Genomic DNA, 21,386 nt, shown 5'->3' with positions numbered 1-21,386 from the left:
TTTTGTTTTGTTTTTGAGACGGGATCTTGCTCTGTCACCCAGGCTGGAGTGCAGTGGTGTGATCTCAGCTCACTGCAGCCTCAACATCCTGGACTCAAGCAGTCCTCCCACTTTAGCCTCCCAAGTAGCTGGGACAATAGGCACATGCCACCTCACCCGCCCAATTTTTGGATTTTTTGTTTTAGAGATGGGGTCTCACTATGTTGCCCAGGCTGGTCTTGAACTCCTGAGCTCAAGCCATCTGCCCCCTTGGCCTCCTAAAGTGGTGAGATTACAGGCATGTGCTACTGCTCCCAGCTTAACTTACATACGCTCTAAGCTGATCATATTTCTTTTTTTTTTTTTTTTTGAGGTGGAGTCTCGCTCTGTCACCCAGGTAGGAGTGCAGTGGTGCAATCTCGGCTCACTGCAAACTTCGCCTCCTGGGTTCACACCATTCTCCTGCCTCAGCCTCCCGAGTAGCTGGGACTACAGGCGCCTGCCACCACGCCTGGCTAACTTTTTGTATTTTTAGTAGAGATGGGGTTTCACCATGTTAGCCAGGATGGTCTCGATCTCCTGACCTTGTGATCCGCCTGCCTTGGCCTCCCAGAGTATATGGGGTCTTTTGTGATTGGCTTCTTAGCACAATGTTTTCAAGGTCTTCATGATGAAGCTGATCATATTTCTATTTTAAAATGATATGAAGACCTTGAAAACATTGTACTAGGAAGCCAATCACAAAAGACCACATATTACATGATTTCATTTATATGAAATGTCCCAAATAGGCAAATCTATATATAGAGAAAGTAGATTAGTGTTTGCCTAGGGCTGGAGAGGAGAGGGGATGTTGTGGGGAAATGGGAAGTGACTGCTAGTGAGTATAAAATTTCTCAGACCGGCCGCGGTGGCTCACGCCTGTAATCCCAGCACTTTGGGAGGCCGAGGTGGGCAGATCACGAGGTCAGGAGTTTGAGACCACCCTGGCTGACATAGTGAAACTCTGTCTCTACTAAAAATACAAACATCAGCCGGGCATGGTGGCACGTGCCTGTAGTCCCAGCTACTCAGGAGGCTGAGGCAGGAGAATCGATTGAACCCGGGAGGCAGAGGTTGCAGTGAGCCGAGATCACGCCACTGCACTCTAGCTTGGGCAAGAGAGTGAGACTTCATCTCAAAAAAAAAAAAAAATTCTTTATGAGGTTTTGAAGTTCTAAAATTGATAGTGATAATGGTCACACAACTCTGAATATGCTAAAAACTCATTGTACACTTTAAATGGGTGAATTGTATAGTATGTGAATTATGTCTCAATAAACCTGTTTTTAAAAAATGAGATGAAGAGAAACAACCAGAATAATGATGTTGCTTAGAATATCTTTGCCTTCACCTGGAAAAAGCTATATATATATATATATATGTGTGTGTGTGTGTGTATATGTATATGTGTATATATATATATGTGTATATATGTGTGTATATATGTGTGTATATATGTGTATATATGTGTATATATGTGTATATACATGTGCATATATATGTATATTTGTGTGTATATGTGTGTATATATGTGTGTGTATATATATGTGTGTATATATGTATATGTGTGTATATATATACACTTATACACACACTGTCTTTCTTGTCCTTTTTTTTTTTTTTATTCATTAATTTGGGGTGTTTAGTCATTTGCAACCAATCCTATTTTTTATTTTTTTTTTTGAGACAGGATCTGGCTTTGTCACCCAGGCCGGAGTGCAGTGGTGTATCTCAGCTCACTGCAACCTCTGCCTCCTGGGTGGAAGCCATCCTCCCACCTCAGCCTCCCGAGTAGCTGGGACTATGGTTGCACGCCACCATGCCCAGCTAATTTTTGTATTTTCAGTAGAGATGAGTTTCACCATGTTGCCCAGACTGGTCTCAAACTCCTGAGCTCAAGCCATCTGCCCACCTTAGCCTCTCAAAGTGCTGGGATTACAGGCATGAGCCACCACGCCTAGCCAGCCAATCCTAATTTTAACCATTGTATCTGCCTACTAAAAAATCTTCAGGTGCCGCTAATTGCCCAAAAAACAAAACCCAACCTTCCTAACCTGGAAATAAGTCCTGTGAAACCTCATGTACCTCTGTGGGAAAGAATAGTGTGATCACTGGGAATGTGAATGTACGTTTTGATGTATAAATTAAGACAGTTCAGTATGTTAAACCATTCATCATGCAAATATTTACGGAGGGCTTACTGTGTATCAGGCAGAACTCTAGGTGCTTGATTGACATCAGTGAATAAAATAGACAAAAAGAATCCCTGCCCTGTAGGACATACAGGAAACAGGGATGGATCCAAAAGAGAATAGTTAACTCAGATGGTAAGAGTTATGTATGGGTTTAATAGAAGAGGGGGCAGTTTAATAGAAGAGGGGGTACATAGCAGTTTAATAGAAGAGGGGGTACATAGCAGTTTAATAGAAGAGGGGGTACATAGCAGTTTAGCTGATCTGAGCTAGACTAGGTTGAATCCTATAGTCTTCCATTTGGGTTCAAGTCTGTTTTTTCTTTTTTTTGAGACAGAGTTTCGCTCTTGTTGCCCAGGCTGGAGTGCGATGGCGCGATCTCGGCTCACTGCAACCTCCGCCTCCCAGGTTCAAGTGATTCTCCTGTCTCAGTGTCCCAAATAGCTGGGATCACAGGTGCCCACCACCACACCTGGCTAATTTTTGTATTTTTAGTAGAGATGGGGCTTCACCTTCTTGGCTAGGCTGGTCTCGAATTCTTGACCTCAGATGATCCACCTGCCTCAGCCTCCCAAAGTGCTGGGATTACAGGCGTGAGCCACTGCGCCTGGCCTCAAGTCTGTTTTTTCTTGTCTTCATTCTGGGGCCCAGGCTAAAGAGCCAGGGGCTTTCAGGGCATGCTCTTCTAATGGCAGATTACAGGAGCACCAGAGGACAGGCCAAACCATAAAATAATGGCTGAAAGCCTGTGCTTATGCCATCTCCACTCCACTCCAAGTCCTACCAAAATGTGACAGGGAAACATACTCTGCCTGTAGTGGGAGGCACTGCATGATTACACAGTAAAGGGTATGGATATGCAATTCTATATTTGTATACTATTAATGATATACATAATGATATACATTATTATACACATATAATTACACATCTTGTAAGGATATATAATTCCTACAAGAGGGTGAGGATTATTGAATAGCAGTTCTGTCTACTAGCGTATATATTATAAGAATAAGAAGTAGCTGAAAAAGTTTGAATATAGAGGTGAATGGACATGGGTATAGAAAGGGCTAAAAGTTGGCTGGGTGCAGTGGCTCACGCCCATAATCTCAGCACTTTTGGGAGGCCGAGGCAGACAAATCACTTGAGATCAGGAGTTTGAGACCAGCCTGGCCAACATGGTAAAACCCCATCTCTACTAAAAATACAAAAATTAGCCGGGTATGGTGGTTCATGCCTGTAGTCCCAGCTCCTCGGGAGGCTGAGGCAGGAGAGTCACTTGAACCCAGGAGGCAGAGGTTGCAGTGAGCCAAGATTGAACCACTGCACTCCAGCCTGGGTGACAGAGCAAGACTCCGTCTCAAATAAATAAATAAATAAATAAAAATAAAAATAAAATTGTCAGAGATATCAAGATATTGCTAGAGGAGTGGGGACAAATTGTGAATTATGGTGGTTAAATGATGCACTGATCTTTGTCTCGTTTCAGTGTTGCTAGTATGAATTCTAATTCATAACACTATGGTGTAAAGACATTAGATATTTACTTATCTAATCTCATTTTACCTATTCTAAGCTCCCCTCTACCTGGCTATTGGAAAACTTAATTTTAGGTATCATTGGAGCCCTTCTTCCTTTCCTGTACCCAGTGGGCCAGGCACGAACAGAGCAAGACTAACCCTTATATGCAAATCTGACAAGGACATTTAAAGAAAAGGGAGTTATAGACTAATAACCCTTGAGAGCACAGGTGTAAAAATCTGTAACAAAAAAGTACCAAATTGAAAATTGAAGTCTCTAAAGAGGATAATACATCATAAGCAAGTAGAATTTATCCCAGGAATGCAAGGTTGATTTAACATTTAAACTTATGACATCAGAATAAAGGGGGAAAATGGTCATCTCATTGGACGCAGGAAAAGCATTTGATAAAATTCAACAACTATTCATGATTTTTTTTTTTATTAAGCAAAATGAAACACTGCAGAACTGGTGTGAAGTTGTGAACTATTTCCCCCGCCTGCCTCTGAGCAGGAATCCCAATGATCAGACATGCTAACTGCCTAGATGGCCCCGCAAAAGTCTGTGGAGTCTCTAGGACATAGTTAATTAATCGACCTGTGATCATATGCATTTGCTAATTGTTAGGAAGTTAGTAGTCCAGTTTATATCAACTACCACATGCTACTGTTAGTTTCTGTATCAATTTTGTAATATTATTAAAATATCCTTTTTGTTCTCTCTCATAGCAGTCTGTAATATAAATCTCCCACCTGTTTCTTTCTCCTTTCATCTTTTTTTTTTTTTGACATGGGGTCTTACTCTGTTGCCAAGGCAGGAGTGCAGTGGCATGATCTCAGCTCACTGCAACCTCCACCTCCCCTGGGTTCAAGTGATCCTCCTGCCTCAGCTCCCAAGTAGCTGGGACTACAGGTGCACACCATCATGCCCAGCTAATTTTTATATTTTTAGTAGAGACAGGGTTTTGCCATGTTGGCCATGTTGGTCTCGAACTCCTGACCTCAGGTGATCCACCTGCCTTGGACTCCCAAAGTGCTAGGATTACAGGCGTGAACCACTGCACCCAGCCTCTCCCTTATCCCAGCTACTCTTATCTTATCCCAGCTACTCTTCGTAATGTTTTATCCCCAGATTCATGGGTTTTCATGTGGATATATTATTTTCTTTTTCTTATTTATTTGTTGTGGAGATGAGATCTCACTATGTTGCCCAGGCTGGTTTCTAGCTCCTAGCCTCAAGTGATCCTAGCCTCGGCCTCCCAGAATGCTCGGATTACAAGCATGAGCCACCCTGCCTGGTCTTATTTTCTTTACATGTCATGTTAGTGCCCCCATCTCCTGTTAGAGATTTCTTTTTTTTTTTTTTTGAGATGGAGTCTTGCTCTGTCGCCCAGGCTAGAGTGCAGTGGCGCGATCTCAGCTCACTGAAAGCTCCACCTCCCGGGTTCATGCCATTCTCCCGCCTCAGCCTCCCGAGTAGCTGGGACTACAGGTGCCCGCCACCACACCCGGCTAATTTTTTTGTATTTTTAGTAGAGACGGGGTTTCACCGTGTTAGCCAGGATGGTCTCGATCTCCTGACCTCGTGATCCGCCCGCCTCGGCCTCCCAAAGTGCTGGGATTATAGGTGTGAGCCACGTGCCCGGCCTTAGAGATTTCTTTTACATGAAGTGAACCTTCCCACTGTTGAATTTTGGGATGAGTTCTAACATACCTCAAGAGTCATAGACTGTTTTTACTTTGTTGTATTATAATTTCAGCCTCACTTTGTTGCTCATACTCTGGGCCTTGATATACTGTATGGATGTCCTAACCTCTGATTGTTTCAAGCTCACTTGCGTTTGTTGTCCGTTTTCTTCATTAAATATTATCCTGCATATTATCCTGCCTTGCAGGTTTTTTTTTTTTTTTTTTTTTTTTTTTTTTTGAGACGGAGTCTTGCTCTGTCTCCCAGGCTGGAGTACAGTGGCACGATCTCAGCTCACGCCTTGCAGTTTTATATCTGGGGCTTTGTACTTTTTCTTTTCTCTTTTTCAAAATTCAGCTTAAAGTAATTGGAATCATTTTGGCACATTTCCCACCAAATAAATTCTCCCTTGCTTTTGTGAAGGGCAGCCGTCCTTTACCAGAACATATCATGGAAATACTGTTAGTCTCTGAACTAAATTTTTTTTTCCAGAGATGGGGTCTCACTATGTTGCCCAGGCTGGACATGAACTCCTGGCCTCAAGCAACCCTCCCACCTTGGCCTCCCAAAGAACTGGAATTATAGGGACACACCACTGCATCTGGCTAAGAACTAACATTTTAAATCAGAACTTTAATAAATTAATGTGGGTCAAGATTTTCCATGAAATAGCATTAACTTTACTCATGAACATTCCCCTTTGCTTTCTTGAATGGATAAGAAAGATGTATATCCTCTGTGACTTAGAGAGGGAAAAAAGGCTTGAACATCTAGGACATTGAGAGGCCAGGCACCGTGGCTCACACCTGTAATTCCAGCACTTCAAGAGGGCGAGGCAGGCGGATTGCTTGAGCTCAGGAGTTTGAGACCAGCCTGGCCAACATGATGAAACCCGTCTCTACAAAAAATATAAAAAATTAGCCAGGCATAGTGGTGCATGCCTGTGGTCCCAGCTACATGGGAGGCTGAGGCAGGAGGATCACTTGAGTGCAGGAGGCAGAGGTTGCAGTGAGCTGAGATTGCGTCACTGCACTCCAGACTTCACTTTCTGACACCTCTCATCCTTTCATACAAAGAGAAGAAATTATTCATTTAGCCTTCGTGTTGTCTTGTATGAGCTCTTGTATTGTCAAGGACAAGAGAAATGTGCAGTTGCTTTTAAGGTTAGATATTCCTTCTCATTGCTGGGACTTGAGATTTTTTAAATGGATTCTCATTCCCAAAAGGTAATGTTAACTGGAGAGTTCAGTTCCAAGACATAAGGATGCTCGTGGAAGCATATTCTTTTGAAGGAACCTCCACCTGACAGCCCCTACAAAAAGGGAACCCCTTTCCCAGCTCTTCCCAGGTAGGTACTCTCCCCTGGGTGGCTGAGCGAGACCCTGACTCAAAAAAAGAAGGACACTGAGTTCTTTTGACACCATCTAAAGAATCAGCCATTCATTGGGTTTGCCGTGTTGTGGCATATTCTCTGGTTCATCTTGAAATTATATATACATTTTATTTTCAAGTATAGTGGCTGTAGTTTCTATAAAAGGCAAGCAGTACTGCAGTTTTTGTTGTTGTTTGTGTAAAGCTGCTCGTCCCTGGTTTTCCATGGTGCTCAAATGTTGGTACTCCTTAAAATGATCTAAAATCACCTACCCTGCTAATGATCTTAGCTATTTTTAACTCCAATTGGACAGTTTGTTTCCTCCCAATTTTTCTTCCTCAGAATCTTCAGTTTTCTAAATTCTTTTCCTGATTTTTCTTCCAAAATATCAAGAATATTTTATACCTTAAAATAGGTTGAGGCCAGGCACAGTGGCTCATGCTTGTAATCCCAGCACTTTTGAGAAGCTGAGGCTGGAGGATTGCTTGAACTCACGAGTTCAAGACCAGCCTGGGCAACATGATGAAATCCTGTCTGTACACAAAAAAGGGAAAAATTTGTAAATTCATTATCTGGGTGTGGGGGCACATGCCTGTAGTTCCAACTACTTGTGAGGCTAAGGTGGGAGAATCACTTTAGCCTGGGAGGTCAAGGCTGCAGTGAGCCGTGATCATCACTGCACTCTAGCCTGGGCAACAGAGTGAGACCCTGTGTCAAAAAAAATAGGTTGAAAGGTAGAGAAATTCCTCATGTCTTTTTAAATCTTCTGTAGCAGAAACACAAGTTTGTGCTTGAAACAGATAAGAAAAAGAAACAAGATGCCTGCCTTGCAGATCTCACTAACATTTGTCCTCACAACTTGGAACACTGGGTTAATAAATTTTCTTAGTGTCTTCTGGAAACTGTCTTAAAAACTGCGTGTTTTTACACGTTTATTGTGTTCTTTGTTATCTATAGCCACACCCTAAAGTTTCACTTTATAGTTTCACTTAATCTGCACGTCTGTAACTGCTGTCATGTGTATTACATCTGCAACATAGTGGAGCTGTTAATTTTAATATGTTGCTCAGCTACTTAGCTCTGACATGTCCAGTTTATTTAGTTATGAGTCAGTGGTTCTTAAATTTCCACCCATAATTGAGATTCATGCATTATTTAAGAAATGTGAGTCTGAGAGGATACTTAGGAACTCCTAGGTTAACCCATTTGAAAATATTTCTTGAATGTAAATTTCCTCAAACTTTGTAGGTCCTGAAATATTAATCTTGGGACCTCCCTCCACCAGTGCAGTTTCATTAAAAAGACAAAACTGATGTGGAGATATAGAAGTAATTTTTTAAAAAAAGAGCTAAAAATGGAAGGAAAACAGCAGTTTAATATGGGTGGCGTAGACGCTGTAAATTAGTTAAAACTACTGTACTGTGAGAGTCAATCCTGAAGCTTTCTTATTTTAAATTCTGTCTTTCGTAAAACAAAAAAAATTTATAGAAGTGTTCGGGTGGTTTAGATAAGGGTTGCTCAGTTTAAATCCTGAGAAGGACTGAGGCGGCCTTCCACGATTGGTGGAAACTCTGACATGTATCCTGTTCCATCTGGAGTTGTTGCCTTCCAACTTGGGCCAAGTTTGAAATCAGCAAAGTGTTGCAATATAAGTAGTTTCAGACGGTATAGGACAGCAGATTCCTTTACTTTCCTACCCTAGTTTCTCTGGTCAGCTCACCTAAGCCAGCGCAGGGTTTTCATTTGTTCTTCCAGTTCGACATTCTGTACCCTGTGGAACCAGAGTCCGTGTGGTGAGTCAGTGCTGCGGTCCTGGGGGCACGCAGGGTAGGAGGCCGCTGTTGAAGAGCAGATGGCCCAGGCCGTGCTTCTCAGCCATGTGGGGATGCTGCGGCCAAGAGGGGTCCTGCTTTTCCCTCATCTGTTGCTAGTTATCTGAAGAATCTCTGAGGAACCTGGCTGTGACTGCTGACCTTCTGTCCAGAGTGAACTCCAGCGACATAAACCATAGGAGGAAGTGCTGTTTTCCTAGCTTCTCTCATTTCCTTCCTTCCTGAAGCAGATTTAGACTTCATTTTCTGACACCTCTCGTCCTTTCATGCGAAGGGAAAAAATTACTCATTTAGCCTTCGTGTTGTCTTGTATGAGCTCTTGTATTGTCAAGGACAAGAGAAATGTGCAGTTGCTTTTAAGGTTAGATATTCCTTCTCATTGCTGGGACCTGAGATTTTTTAAATGGATTCTCGTTCCCAAAAGGTAATGTTTTCTGGAAAGCAGTTCCAAAACATAAGGATGCTCATGGAAGCATATTCTTTTGAAGGAACCTCCGCTGGACTGCCCCTACAGAAAGGGAATCTCTTTCCCAGCTCTTCCCAGGTAGGCAGTCTCTCCTGGTAGAGTAAGCAAGAAAGGAGAGACAGCTGTTTTTTGTCTTTCAGTTAAGGAAACCCCTTCAGAAGTTTTGTTCTGGGACCCCAGAATTTGAATTTTTTTTTTTTTGGCAGGGTCTCGCTCTGTTGCACAGGCTGGAGTGCAGTAGTGCGATCAGCTTGCTGCAACCTCCACTTCCCAGGTTCAAGCAATGCCACCTCAGAGCTGCTCCCCCATACCCCCGCCCTGAGTAGCTGGAACCACAGGTGTTCACCACCACGTCCAGCTAATTTTTATATTTTTGTAGAGACAGGGTTTTGCCATGTTGCCCAGTCTGGACTCGAACTCCTGGGCCCAAGGGATCTGCCTGTCTTGGCCTCCCAAAGTGCTGGGATTACAGGCGTGAGCCACCGTGCCCAGCCTCACCAGTGCTTTTTGAAAGAATATACTGACTAATTTAGGGGAGTACAGGGAACCCAGGCATTAATATTTTTCTAAATTTTTTTTAAACCTTCAAAATGTATGTCTCCAGTGCTTACCTCTCACCTGGATTTAGAATGGTGGATTTAGGGAACTATTTTTATAGTTTTCCATATACTTTGCTCAATTCTTTATTTTATTTTATTATTTATTTATTTATTTATTTTTTGAGACAGGGTCTCGCTCTGTTGCCCAGGCTGGATTGCAGTAGCACGATCTAGGCTCACTGCAGCCTCCACTTCCTGGGCTCAAGTTATCCTCCCACCTCAGCCTCCCCAGTAGCTGGGACTACAGGCGTGCACTACCACGCCCAGCTAATTTTTGTGTTTTTATAGAGACAGGATTTCACCATGTTGCCCAGGCTGGTCTCGAGCTCCTGGGCTCAAGCAATCCACCCTCCTCTGCCTCCCAAAGTGCTGGGATTATAGGTGTGAGCCACTGCGCCTAGCCATCCCCATTCTTTTCATGTGTTGTTCTCATAAATCCAAGTCATCCTTTTGGGCGTGTATCACTCAGGGGCCCAGCAGAAAACAGAAGGCACACTCAAATTGGGTAATTGGAAGAGGTCCAACTTAAAGCAGAATGGAGAAGTTTAGGGAAAATAACAAAGGATTGTACCATATGTCACGGCTAGCTGGAGAGCCACCCTGCTCCTGAAGAGGTGGGGGATGGAATGGTTACCTGATGCAAGAGAAAGCTGTTTTGAGGAGGTCTTCATATGGTAGCTGTGGTGTTTAATAGAGCAACGCAGCCAACTCACAACCCAGCAGGGAGAGAGCCAGGGGAGTAAATATCACAATCTCACTGTCCCTCTGCCTTCAGACCTCCTGCCAGTGCCATCCATTGGCTGAACCCAACTGAAAGCCAGAGATGGGGGAGGCCTTGTTCAGTTCTGGTGGGCCAGCCTCCGGGAACACAGGGTAGGCTGGGGCAGACCTGAAAGGGCAGATTTTCGGTATCCTCAATCTGTGCCAAGTTCAGACTTTGATTCCAAAGGCCACATTAGAAATTACTTATTAAACTGTTTGATATCGGTGTCTATCAGGGTAAAAGTTTATAGTTTGTGATCTCAGGAGATTTTTTAATGAAGTATGTCCAGACTTGAAGATATGTTGCTTAATAAAAATTACTGGCCAGGCACAGTGGCTCATACCTGTAATCCCAGCTCTTTGAGAGGCCAAGGCGGGCAGATCACTTGAGGCCAGGAGTTTGAGACAAGCCTGGCCAACAAGGTGAAACCCCATCTCTACTAGAAATACAAAAATTAGCTGGGTGTGGTGGTGCATACCTGTAATCCCAGCTACTCAGGAGGCTGAGGCACGAGAGTTACTTGAGCCCAGGAGGTGAAGGTTGCAGTGAGCTGAGATTGAGCCACTGCACTCCAGTCTGGGCAACAGAGCTAGACTCCGTCTCAAAAAATAAAATAAACATTACTGAGTCCTCCAGGCCTTCTTTCACATTCACGTTTTATGACATACCTTAAAATTTTTTTTTATTGTGGTAAGTGTACATAACATAAAATTTACCATTTTAACCATTTTTAAGTTTACAGTTTTGTGGCATTAAGTAATTCACATTGCTTTTCAACCATTACTACCATTCATCTCCAGAACTTTTTTTATCTTCCTAAACTGAAATGCTGTACCCATTACATACTAACTCCCTATCTCCTCTTCTCGCCCCTACCCCCTGGCAACCACCATTCAGCTTTTAATCTCTTATGAATTTGACCCCTCTGTGTACCTCATTCATGCAGTATTTGTCCTTTTGTGTCTGGCAGATTTCACTTAGCTTAATATCTTTTTTTTTAAGACAGGGTCTCACTCTGTGGCTCAGGCTGGAATGAGTGGCACAAACACTGTTCATGGCAGCCTCAATCTCCTGGGCTCAAGCAACCCTCCCACCTCAGCTTCCTGAATAGCTGAGACTATAGGCACCTGCCACTGCGCCCAGCTATTTTTTTTTTTTTAATTCTAATTTTTTGTAGAGTTGGGTTCTCACTATGTTGCCCTTCTGGGCTCAAGTGATCCTCTCCTCTTGGTCTCCCAGAGTGCTAAGATTACAGGCATTAGCCACTGAGGCCAGCCTTAGCTTAATGTCTTCAAGGTTCATCTGTGTTGTAGCACTTTACAGTGATACATATTGTAACTTTTTTTTTTTTTTTTTGAGACGGAGTCTTACTCTGTTGCCCAGGCTGGAGTGCAGTGGCCCAATCTTGGCTCACTGCAACCTCTGCCTTCTGGGTTCAAACGATTCTCCTGCCTCAGCCTCTTGAGTAGCTGGGATTGTAGGCATGCATCACCACACTTGGCTAATTTTTTTGTATTTTTAGTAGAGATAGGGTTTCGCCACGTTGGCCAGGCTTGTCTTGAACTCCTGACCTCGGATGATCCGCCTGCCTCAGCCTCCCAAAGTGCTGAGATTACAGGCCTGAGCCACCGCACCCAGCTCTACATTGTAAATTTTATTTCTGAATATGTTTTCTCTGATACATTTACTCTCATGGCTTTTAACTTTTACATGTCCAGTCCAATGTCTCACAAATCTGCAAGATGGTTGATATAAGAGCAAGGGCTGCAGGACTTAAGACATGGCAAATGAGTGGACCTGAGCAGGAGAGGTGGCATCATTTGGGGGAAGTACTCCAGGTGTGGAAAGTGTTTAAATATGTGGGACTGACCATGGAGGAAATAAACAGCAGTAAACCAAAAAACAAGTTCTGAGCGGACAGTGCCTTATGGGAGCTGAGACATTTCGTTTGGATGGGACTGCCCTGAATATTATTTATGAATGACAAGTGGAGTGGGACAAGGTTACACAAATCTGAAGTGGGGCCTGAAAACGGCGTGCTGTGGCCAGACAAGTTTAGAAATGCCAGATTGAAAAGGATTCTTGCCAAATTGTTTCAGTCTTTAATATGCTAATTTTAAAATGCTCCTCTAAGAAGGAAATATGGTTTATAGCCTTCCTGGAGTTTATCATGATCATGGAGCTCTTGTGTCTTGGAGCACAAAGATTAGCGTCCTCAGAACATGTTTTGGGAATTGGTGGGGACTAAACTAAGCTTCTTGGGTGCAGGGACTATAACTTATCTCCCACACAACACCAGGAAGGTTCCTGGACACATCATTGGAGCAAAGCTGGATTAATAGGTAACTGCCAAAGGCTTTAGTCCATAGAAAGTATTAAAATATCCTTGAGGCACAAAAAAAGTCACTGCAGATTTGAGTCCTTCCCCGACCCCCACATTGAATGGGTAAGACTGAGTGAGTGTCTCCTTTTGAGATTAGTGCTCGGGCTTTATTTTTTTCCCAGTTGGGTAGATACTTGGTGATAGGAGTTGAATTGCTTAGGACAATAGAGGAGACTCTAAACGCTACTGTCCGCCACCAACAGGATTAGAGAATAAATACCTAGAATGTTGGGTGAAGGGTCATCAAATGATTAGCTTACCCAGTCAAGCCAGATTTTTAGTTTGCATAGGGCTTTGGTTGATGCCATTTGGCTTGATAAATATTCATTGAATGTATGAATTATAGAAAATAGGAGGACCTGTAAATTCTCATCCAACTGTGTTATATATATAAATTGACATTTTAGAAAGATTAATCAGATTTACTGCCATTTTAGTGGGGAAAACAGAACTGCAATTCTGTTAAAATCCAGAATTTGTAATTCCTTGGCCAGTAGGGAGAGGAAAAAGGTACTTTAAAAAAACAAAAATAAAAAAAAACTGCTGGCCAGGCGTGGTGGCTCACGCCTGTAATCCCAGCAATTTGGGAGGCCGAGGAGGGCAGAGCACCTGAGTTGAGGAGTTCAAGACCACCAGCCTGGGCAACATGGCAAAACCTCACCTCTGTAAATAAATTAGCCAGGTGTGGTGGTACACACCTGTGATCGCAGATATTCAGGAGGCTGAGGTGGGATGATCACCTGAGTCTGGGAGGCAGAGGTTAGAGTAAGCCAAGATCACGCCACTGCACTGTAGCCTAGGTGACAGAGACCCTGTCTCAAAAAAGAAAACAACAACAACAAAAACCGTAAACAAATATTGGACTCTAGTTAAGATATATATGTCAGAGTTTGGTGGGAAATGTTTATGATTTATTTTGAAGTGCATCAAAATAAAAAATATATATATTTGAAATGCATCCAAAAAATAACACAAATTGATAAACGAATAAAGGGATAGATAATATGTGATAAAGTAACTGCAGTAAGATGTTAATGCTAGAATCTAGGTGGTGGGTGTAAAATTCTTTCAACCTCACTGTTTGAAAATTTTCATAGTTAAATGTTGGAGAAACAGAAAAATGGAAGTCTAGAGGATGTTGAAGGAAGAACCAATGAAGTTTAAGAAAAGTGATGTTTGCCATAAAAAGAACGTGGGCATGGGAATCAAACAGGCCTGAATTCGGGTTCTGGTTTAGCTATTTGTCAGCTAAAGAGATTGAGTAAATTGCTCAGTGGTGGTGCTGGGATTGGAATGCAGGCACCCTGGCTTTGGAGACTTGCTGTCTACCTTGCGGAGTCGTGAGGATTTAAGCTCCTAGATCAGTGTCTGACACTTGGTAGATAATCATACAATAGCTGTTGTTCTTAGTGTACCGTCTGCCATAGAGGATGAAGAAGTCCAAGACATTAATGCTTGACCTGGAAGATTTCTATGACATTGCTATGGCACTGTTGCCAGTGCCATACATAGATAGACAAGCTGGAAGGTAAAACTATTTTTGGGGAAGAGATGGTTAATTTAGTTTTAGGTAAGTAAAACTTGAGATTTTGATATGAATAGTTTCATATATTGTGACAGGTTGGATTATTGGAAAAAAATTTTTAAAAGATAAGAATAAAAAAAGAGTTTCATATATTTTCCCAAACTTCAACAAATCGTTTGTTCATCAAAAATCTGAAAATATTTTATGTGCCAGGCACTGCTGTAGACCAGTGAATGAAATAAATCTCTTCCTTCACAGAGTTTACATTCTAAAAGGGTTTGAAGAATTTTCTTTCCAAATATATCTATATTTCAAATGCAGAATGACTCCCTAAAGGTGGAAAGATAGGCGTTCACCAGCAAGGGAAGAAGATGGTGTTTTCATAGCAAATTTTTCTGCTGTCCCTGAAATCATGCCATATAAGCAGTAATTTCCTCGGTGTTCTCTCAAGCCCATCTGTGTTCTGATTTCCTCTGCAGTTCTTTTTACTTCTATCTGGAGTTGGTGGAACAGCTTATAGAAGCCATTTATGATTGTTTCAAAATATATGCTCAGGCTTCTAAAATGGCCCTGGCATGAATAAGAGTAGCTGCTTTTCATAGGGTATACAGGGCAGAGAAGACAGATGAGATTCGTCATATTATACATACTTTTGGGTCTCACACATGAATCATGTAATTTAGCGAGGCCGTGACTTCAGTACCCTTCTAGGGTGTGTGCTCCTCAGTGATTATGCACTCATTCCAATGGAGTAGGAGGTCAGTCAGTAAAAGTATTTATTGAGCCAGATTCTCCTCTGCTTCTGAGTCATTTTCTGGTAGAGTGAAAAGGTTCTCTGGGAGAAGCTTTAACTCTTTCAGATTACAAGCATTACTCCCTTTGTGTAATGGGGTAGTTCTCTAAGTAATTATATGGGGTTTATGCTAATTCTTTACTTGATATTTTAGATAATTAGATATATCTAGTCTGATAGATGAAATCTGAGAAAATGTAGTATAAGAAGAAAAATAGTATCTAATTTGGCCGAAGGTTAAGGAATAGTTTTAATAACATAAACATCTAGATGGCTAAGAAGTTTGCAGGACATTATGTGTGGTGTTTTTTTTTTTAAGAAAATACTTAGGACACCACCCTTATGTGGAAATCTGACATCTGGCAACTTCAGTCCTCTGGAAGACAGCCAGAAAGTAAGAAAGGGGCCTCAGTGCACATGAAAATAACTGTTGAAAAACTCTACCACGAACATGTGTCCTTTCCCACCACAGTAGAGTTTGTTAGCCTCGCATTTAGAGCTTGTTTACTTTTATTTATCTAGGAACTTTACATAATTTTGGTAGTATGCGTGTGGTCTCCCCTCCATAGCAGATCATAAACAGCAATATAGCAAGGGCGTGGAAAAGTTGACAGAGGAGAGCAGAGGGTAGGCTGACGTTGAAAGAGAAAGGCCTAAAAGATAGACAGTGCTGGTATTGTGTATCACAGCTTAATACAGTAATGTGTAGTCTTAATAATGAACTTGGACCCATCAGCCAAAGAGTAAGTCATGTTCAAGGTCTTCTAATAAAGAAGTCAGGGAAGTCTGGAGTGTGTCTATTTTTAAACAATCAAAGTTAACCAGGTTTTGACATGTTGAAATGGTAAGCTCCGTAGAGTTTATATGTTTGAAATAGCACATTCTCTGATGATGCTATATCAGTGACACAAATTTGAGCTTGCAGTTGATTATGGAAATGATGCTTTGTAATAATGACTAATGTTTATTGAGCAGCTACTATACCAGCCCTGACCTAGGTGCTTTCACACTGTTAGCATACTGGTTAAGGCTTTGGAGACAGACAGATTTGGGTTCCCATTACACCTCTGACTTACTATGTGACCTTGGACAGCTATCATCTCTCTGATCCCGTGTCCCCACCTGCCAAATGGGAACCAATAACATATGATAGGGTCCTTGCGAGGACTCAGGGAAGTACATGGTAAATGCATGTACCTAGGAAGTACTCAATGAATGTTAGGCACTGTTATAACTATAATAGTCTTGATGGTTATTATGAAAGTATGATTATCTCCATTTTTCTGGATGAGGAAACTGAAGCCCAGAGAGTTTAAGTAAGATGTCCAAGGTGAAATCGCTAATAAATAGTGGAGCTGGCCTGTGGACCTGGGTCTCTCTGACTACAGAAGCCTAGTGCTTTACATTCATATATGCTGCCTCTGCAGCATGTAATTATAATTAGATTTTTTTTGGTAATACTTAGAGAAAATGTGTTAGTAGCATCTGTGGGAAATACCCACTTACCACTTCTCTTTTCCACTGTGGACTCAAGTCGTCTTATTATAGACAAAAAGTCTATAATAAGTAACACAAAGATAACCTACTTTTGCTTGACAGTACAAATTAAATAGGTAATGTTTGTGTAGCATGATTTATTAACATCTTCTAGGTACTCCATATTAATATACTAAATGATTTATTATATGCCTAATATGTTTATCCACATCAGTGTTTTCTTGGATATAATTTTTTTTTTTTTTGAGACATAGTTTTGCTCTTGTTGCCCAGGCTGGAGTGCAATGGTGCGATTTTGGCTCACTGCAACTCCGCCTCCTGGGTTGAAGTGATTCTCCTGCCTCAGCCTCCTGAGTAGCTGGGATTACAGGCATGCACCACCACGCCTGGCTAATTTTGTAATTTTAATAGAGACGGGGTTTCTCCATGTTGGTCAGGCTGGTCTCGAGCTCCCTGACCTCAGGTGATCCACCCGCCTCAGCCTCCCAAAGTGCTGGGATTACAGGCATGAGCCACCGTGCCTGGCTGGATTATAAATTAACAGAGGTCAGGTATGGTGGCTTCTCCCTGTAACCCCCTGGCACTTTGGGAGGCCAAGGTGGGTGGCCCAGGAGTTTGAGACCAGCCTGGGCAACATAGTAAAACCCTGTCTCTACAAAAAGGTACAAAAAAAATTAGCTGGGCATGGTTATGCATACCTGTAGCCATATGTACCCAGGAGGCTGAGGTGGGAAGATTGCTTGAGCCCTGGATATCGAGGCTACGGTGAGCCACTGCTCTCCAGCCTGGGCCTCAGAATAGGACCCTGTCTCATAAATAAATAAAATTAACAGAGCTACCACTACCTTTTCTTTTTTTGTAATTAGGCACTTCATGCTTTTTGATGTGATGATGGTTGTATGTGAGATGGAAGGTAGAGTCCTCATTCATCTCTACCAAGACCAAATAAGTACTTGAGATGGTTGAAAATAGACTTGTACTTGGGAGGCTGAGGCAGGAGGATCACTTGAGCCCAGGAGTTCAAGGCTGCAGTGAGCTATTTTTGCACTCCAGCCTGGGCAACAGAGCAAGACCCCATCTCTAAAAAGAAAAGAAAAGAAAAACAGATTTCAGGCCTGGATACTCTGGTGATCTTCAGCTGCTCCTTTAAGAGACCTAGGGAGAAATGTAGCTGTCATCAAGGCTGATTGTCTACAGAGGGATGGATGTCCACTACTTATGTCCTCTCTTTCTGCTGCTTCAATACATACGTAGGTTCCCCAGCCACATGCATCAAGGTAATGGACACATCGTCTTATTACAGCACAGACACCGTAACAGTACAAGGATACTCCCCGGGGTTGGGCCACTGACTTCTGTGAACCAAAAACATATACTTGATCTGGCATAGGATGCTAAATCTTGTCTGGAGGTGCCATCTACATAGTCCTTTCTTCCTTTCTTACAGATTTTTACTTTTCTAACTTTTTTTTTTATAAAATAGAGGTGAAGTCGTGCTGTGTTGCCCACGTTGGTCTTGAACTCCTGACTGCAATTGATCCTCTAGCCTTAGTCTCCCGAAGTGCTAGGATTATAGGCATGAGCCATTCAATAGATTTTCCCTTTCCTTTTCCTTTTTCCTTTTCTGAGTCTCACTCCGTCACCCAGGCTGGAATGCAATGAATGGCATGATCTCGGCTCACTGCAACCTCGGCCTCCCAGGTTCAAGTGATTCTCCTGCCTCAGCCTCCCAAGTAGCTGGGATTACAGGCACCCGCCACTGTGCCTGACTGATTTTTGTGTTTTTAGTAGAGACGGGGTTTCACCATGTTGCCCAGGCTGGCCTCAAAACTCCTCACCTCAGGTGATCTGCCCGCCTTGGCCTCGCAAAGTGCTGGGATTACAGGTGCGAGCCACCGCGCCAGTCCCCAACAGGTTTTCCATCTAGGCCTTTGAGGCATAGTTCTGCTGCTGTTCTTCAGGTTGTGGTACATTTGTTTGCAGATAGTCTCAGTAGGTAGGAACCAGAATGCCCTCAGTTTGAGTTCTGGCCCTGCTGCTGTGAGCACTGTGATCTTGGACAAATAATGTTTTCTAACTATACTGAGCCTTAGTATCCTAATCTTTAAGATCTATAGGGAATAAAATGCCATATTTAAAATCTCTACTTTTTAAAGTATTGTATTTTAAAATTACCATGTTGTCTGGTGTTTTAAAAATGTTAATTTCATTACTGCCCTCTTCAGGCATTCTGAAAAGCCTACATTTGCTGACACTTGAATCTTTTCTATCACTGAGAGGTCTAGGGTTTTTGTTTTGTTTTGTTTTGTTTTGTTCCTGAATTCCTTTGCGGTCCAAATGAAAAATATATGAAGAAATTATTATTTTTAAATTAGACCAGGTGCGGTGGCTCATGCCTGGAATCCCAACACTTTGGGAGGCCAAAGCAGGAGGATCACTGAAGCCAGGAGTTCAACACTAGCCTGGGTAACGAAGTGAGATCTCATCTCTACAAATAAATAAATAAATAAATAAATAAATAAATGCCGCAGGCAGTGGCTCACGCCTGTAATCCCAGCACTTTGGGAGGCTGAGGTGGGCAGATCACTTGAGGCCAGGAGTTTGAGATGAGCCTGGCCAATGTGGCAAAACCCTGTCTCTACTAAAAATACAAAAATTAGTTGGGCATGGTGGTGCATGCCTGTAGTCCTACCTACTTGGGAGGCTGAGCCTTGAGAATCACTTGGGAGGCTGAGCCAGGAGGCAGAGGTGGCAGTGAGCCAAGATTGTGCCACTGCACTCCAGTGTGGAACACACAGCGAGATTTCATCTCAAAAAATAAAAATAAAAAGTCAGGCACAGTGGTGTGCGCCTGTAGTTCCAGCTACTCAGAAAGCTGAGGTAGGAGGATCACTTGAGCCCAGGAGCTGGAGGCTGCAGTGAGCTATGATCACACCACTGCACTCCAGCCTGGGTGATAAAGCGAGACCTGTTTCCCCCGGCCCCCAAAAAGGGAAAAAGAAATGAGAAATAACTTTGATATTTTAAAATATGAGGCCAGGTACAGTGGAGCATGCCTGTAATCCCAGCACTTTGGGAGGCCAGGGTAGGCAGATTGCTTCAGCCCAGGAGTTTGAGACCAGCCTGGGCAACATGGTGAAACCCTGCCTCTAGTAAAAATACAAAAAATTAGCTGGACATGGTGGCACATGCCTGTAGCCCAAGTTTCTTGGGAGACTGAGCTGGGAGAATCACCTGAGCCCAGGAAGTCGAGGCTACAGTGAGCCATGATTGCTCCACTGCACTCCAGCCTGGGCGATGGGAGTGAGACCCTGTCTCAAAAATAAAATAGGAAGTACTAACTTATTTGCTTAGCTTTGGCTTCATTTTAAGTATATTTGTATCTTAAGCTTTATCATTCCAAGAAATAGATCTATATTGCAGTGTCTTAAATATTGATGTTTTCTATTTCTCTTGATCTATCTTTCCAGGTTATAAAACATGGAGGCTGGCTCAGTGGTTCGAGCCATTTTTGACTTCTGCCCTAGCGTATCAGAAGAACTGCCGCTCTTTGTGGGAGATATTATTGAGGTGCTGGCAGTGGTGGATGAATTTTGGCTTCTAGGAAAGAAGGAGGATGTTACAGGTAAGTAAGAGACTCATAGTGGACCACAGGCCCTGACTTCTTTCCATATTAAAAATAAAGGCTGGCACTGCACTCCAGCCTGGGCAACAGAGTGAGACCCTGTCTTAAAAAAAAAAAAAGAAAGAAAGAAAGAAAGAAAGAAAATTATTCCTAGCTGGGCACAGTGGCTCATGCCTATAATCCCAGCACTTTGGGAGGCTGAGGTGGGTGGATCCCCTGAAGTCAGGAGTTCAAGACCAGCCTGGCCAACATGGTGAGATGGTGAGACCCTGTCTCTACTAAAAATACAAAATTTGCTGGGTGTGGTGGCGCGTGCCTGTAATCCCAGCTACTCAGGAGGCAAGGCTGGAGAATTGCTTGAACCCAGGAGGTGAAGATTGCAGTGAGTTGAGATTGTGCCATTGCATTCCAGCCTGGGCGACAAGAGTGAAACTCTGTCTCTAAATAAGTAAATAAATAATAAAAATAAAAATAAAGGCTGGGCATGGTGGGTCATGCTTATAATCCCAGCACTTTGGGAGGCTGAGATGGGAGGATTGCTTGAGGCCAAGAGTTCATGACCAGCCTGGTCAACATAGCAAGACACCATCTCAATAAATAAATAAGAAAGGATGGGAGGTAGGGAGGGAGGAAGAGAAAGAAAAGAAAGAAAGGAAGGAAGGAAGGAAAGAAAAGAAAGCTAGCTAAATGGGAAGCCCAAGTCAATAAATTTCAGAATCCTTTTGTGTTTACCTACTGTATTCATATGTGGTCTCTACCAGTTAGGGGAAGATTTCTGTTACCATTCCATCTCTGTGTTGATTCCTTCAAGAGGTTGCACCACTAGACACCAGCTGCCCCAGCCCAGGTTTCTATCCAAGTCTTTGTCTTTCACCCGCTTTCCCTTCCCAGGTCTTTATCCTTTGTGTTCAGTGCTATTATTCCTCTTCTCAAAACATGTTATTCCTTTCTTCATAACCCTGTTGTTTACTACTGCTTTCCTTTTTTTTTTTTTTTTTTTTTTTTTTTGAGACGGAGTCTTGCTCTGTTGCCCAGGCTGGAGTGCAGTGGCATGATCTCGGCTCACTGCAAGCTCTACCTCCCAGGTTCATGCCATTCTCCTGCCTCAGCC

General features: G+C 42.7%; 1 protein-coding gene and 1 long non-coding RNA gene across 6 annotated transcripts in view, besides 2 other annotated features; one reads left to right on the top strand and one right to left on the bottom strand.

Annotated features, from left to right (window-relative positions):
• Positions 1-21,386, top strand: part of DNMBP (dynamin binding protein) — a 134,377-nt gene that overhangs the window by 17,693 nt on the left and 95,298 nt on the right. For all 5 annotated transcript variants that reach the window (NR_199816.1, XM_047424910.1, NM_001441288.1 and 2 more), the window contains one exon: positions 20,121-20,275. Coding sequence is in view for 4 of the 5 variants with exons in the window: in XM_047424910.1 (XP_047280866.1) it covers positions 20,131-20,275 (145 nt within the window). In the remaining variant the exon portion in view is untranslated. The remainder of the gene's footprint in view (positions 1-20,120; positions 20,276-21,386) is intronic.
• Positions 7,482-7,641: an enhancer, noted in NCBI's record as "active region_3875". NCBI's record gives its function as "activates an Ori minimal core promoter by ATAC-STARR-seq in GM12878 lymphoblastoid cells {active_cell/tissue: GM12878}" and the evidence as "EXISTENCE:reporter gene assay evidence [ECO:0000049][PMID:35858748]".
• LOC124902490 (uncharacterized) lies at positions 8,148-10,483 on the bottom strand. Its single transcript, XR_007062266.1, has 2 exons — positions 10,324-10,483; positions 8,148-9,182 (listed from the first exon to the last, which is right to left on the bottom strand). It is a non-coding gene; the product is annotated as an uncharacterized LOC124902490 (long non-coding RNA).
• Positions 8,529-8,738: an enhancer, noted in NCBI's record as "active region_3874". NCBI's record gives its function as "activates an Ori minimal core promoter by ATAC-STARR-seq in GM12878 lymphoblastoid cells {active_cell/tissue: GM12878}" and the evidence as "EXISTENCE:reporter gene assay evidence [ECO:0000049][PMID:35858748]".

This window comes from Homo sapiens, chromosome 10 (assembly GCF_000001405.40).
Source record: "Homo sapiens chromosome 10, GRCh38.p14 Primary Assembly".
NCBI classification, from domain to species: Eukaryota; Metazoa; Chordata; class Mammalia; order Primates; family Hominidae; genus Homo; species Homo sapiens.
The sequence above is the reverse complement of the archived record's forward strand: the minus strand, read 5'-3'. Positions and strand labels throughout refer to the sequence as shown.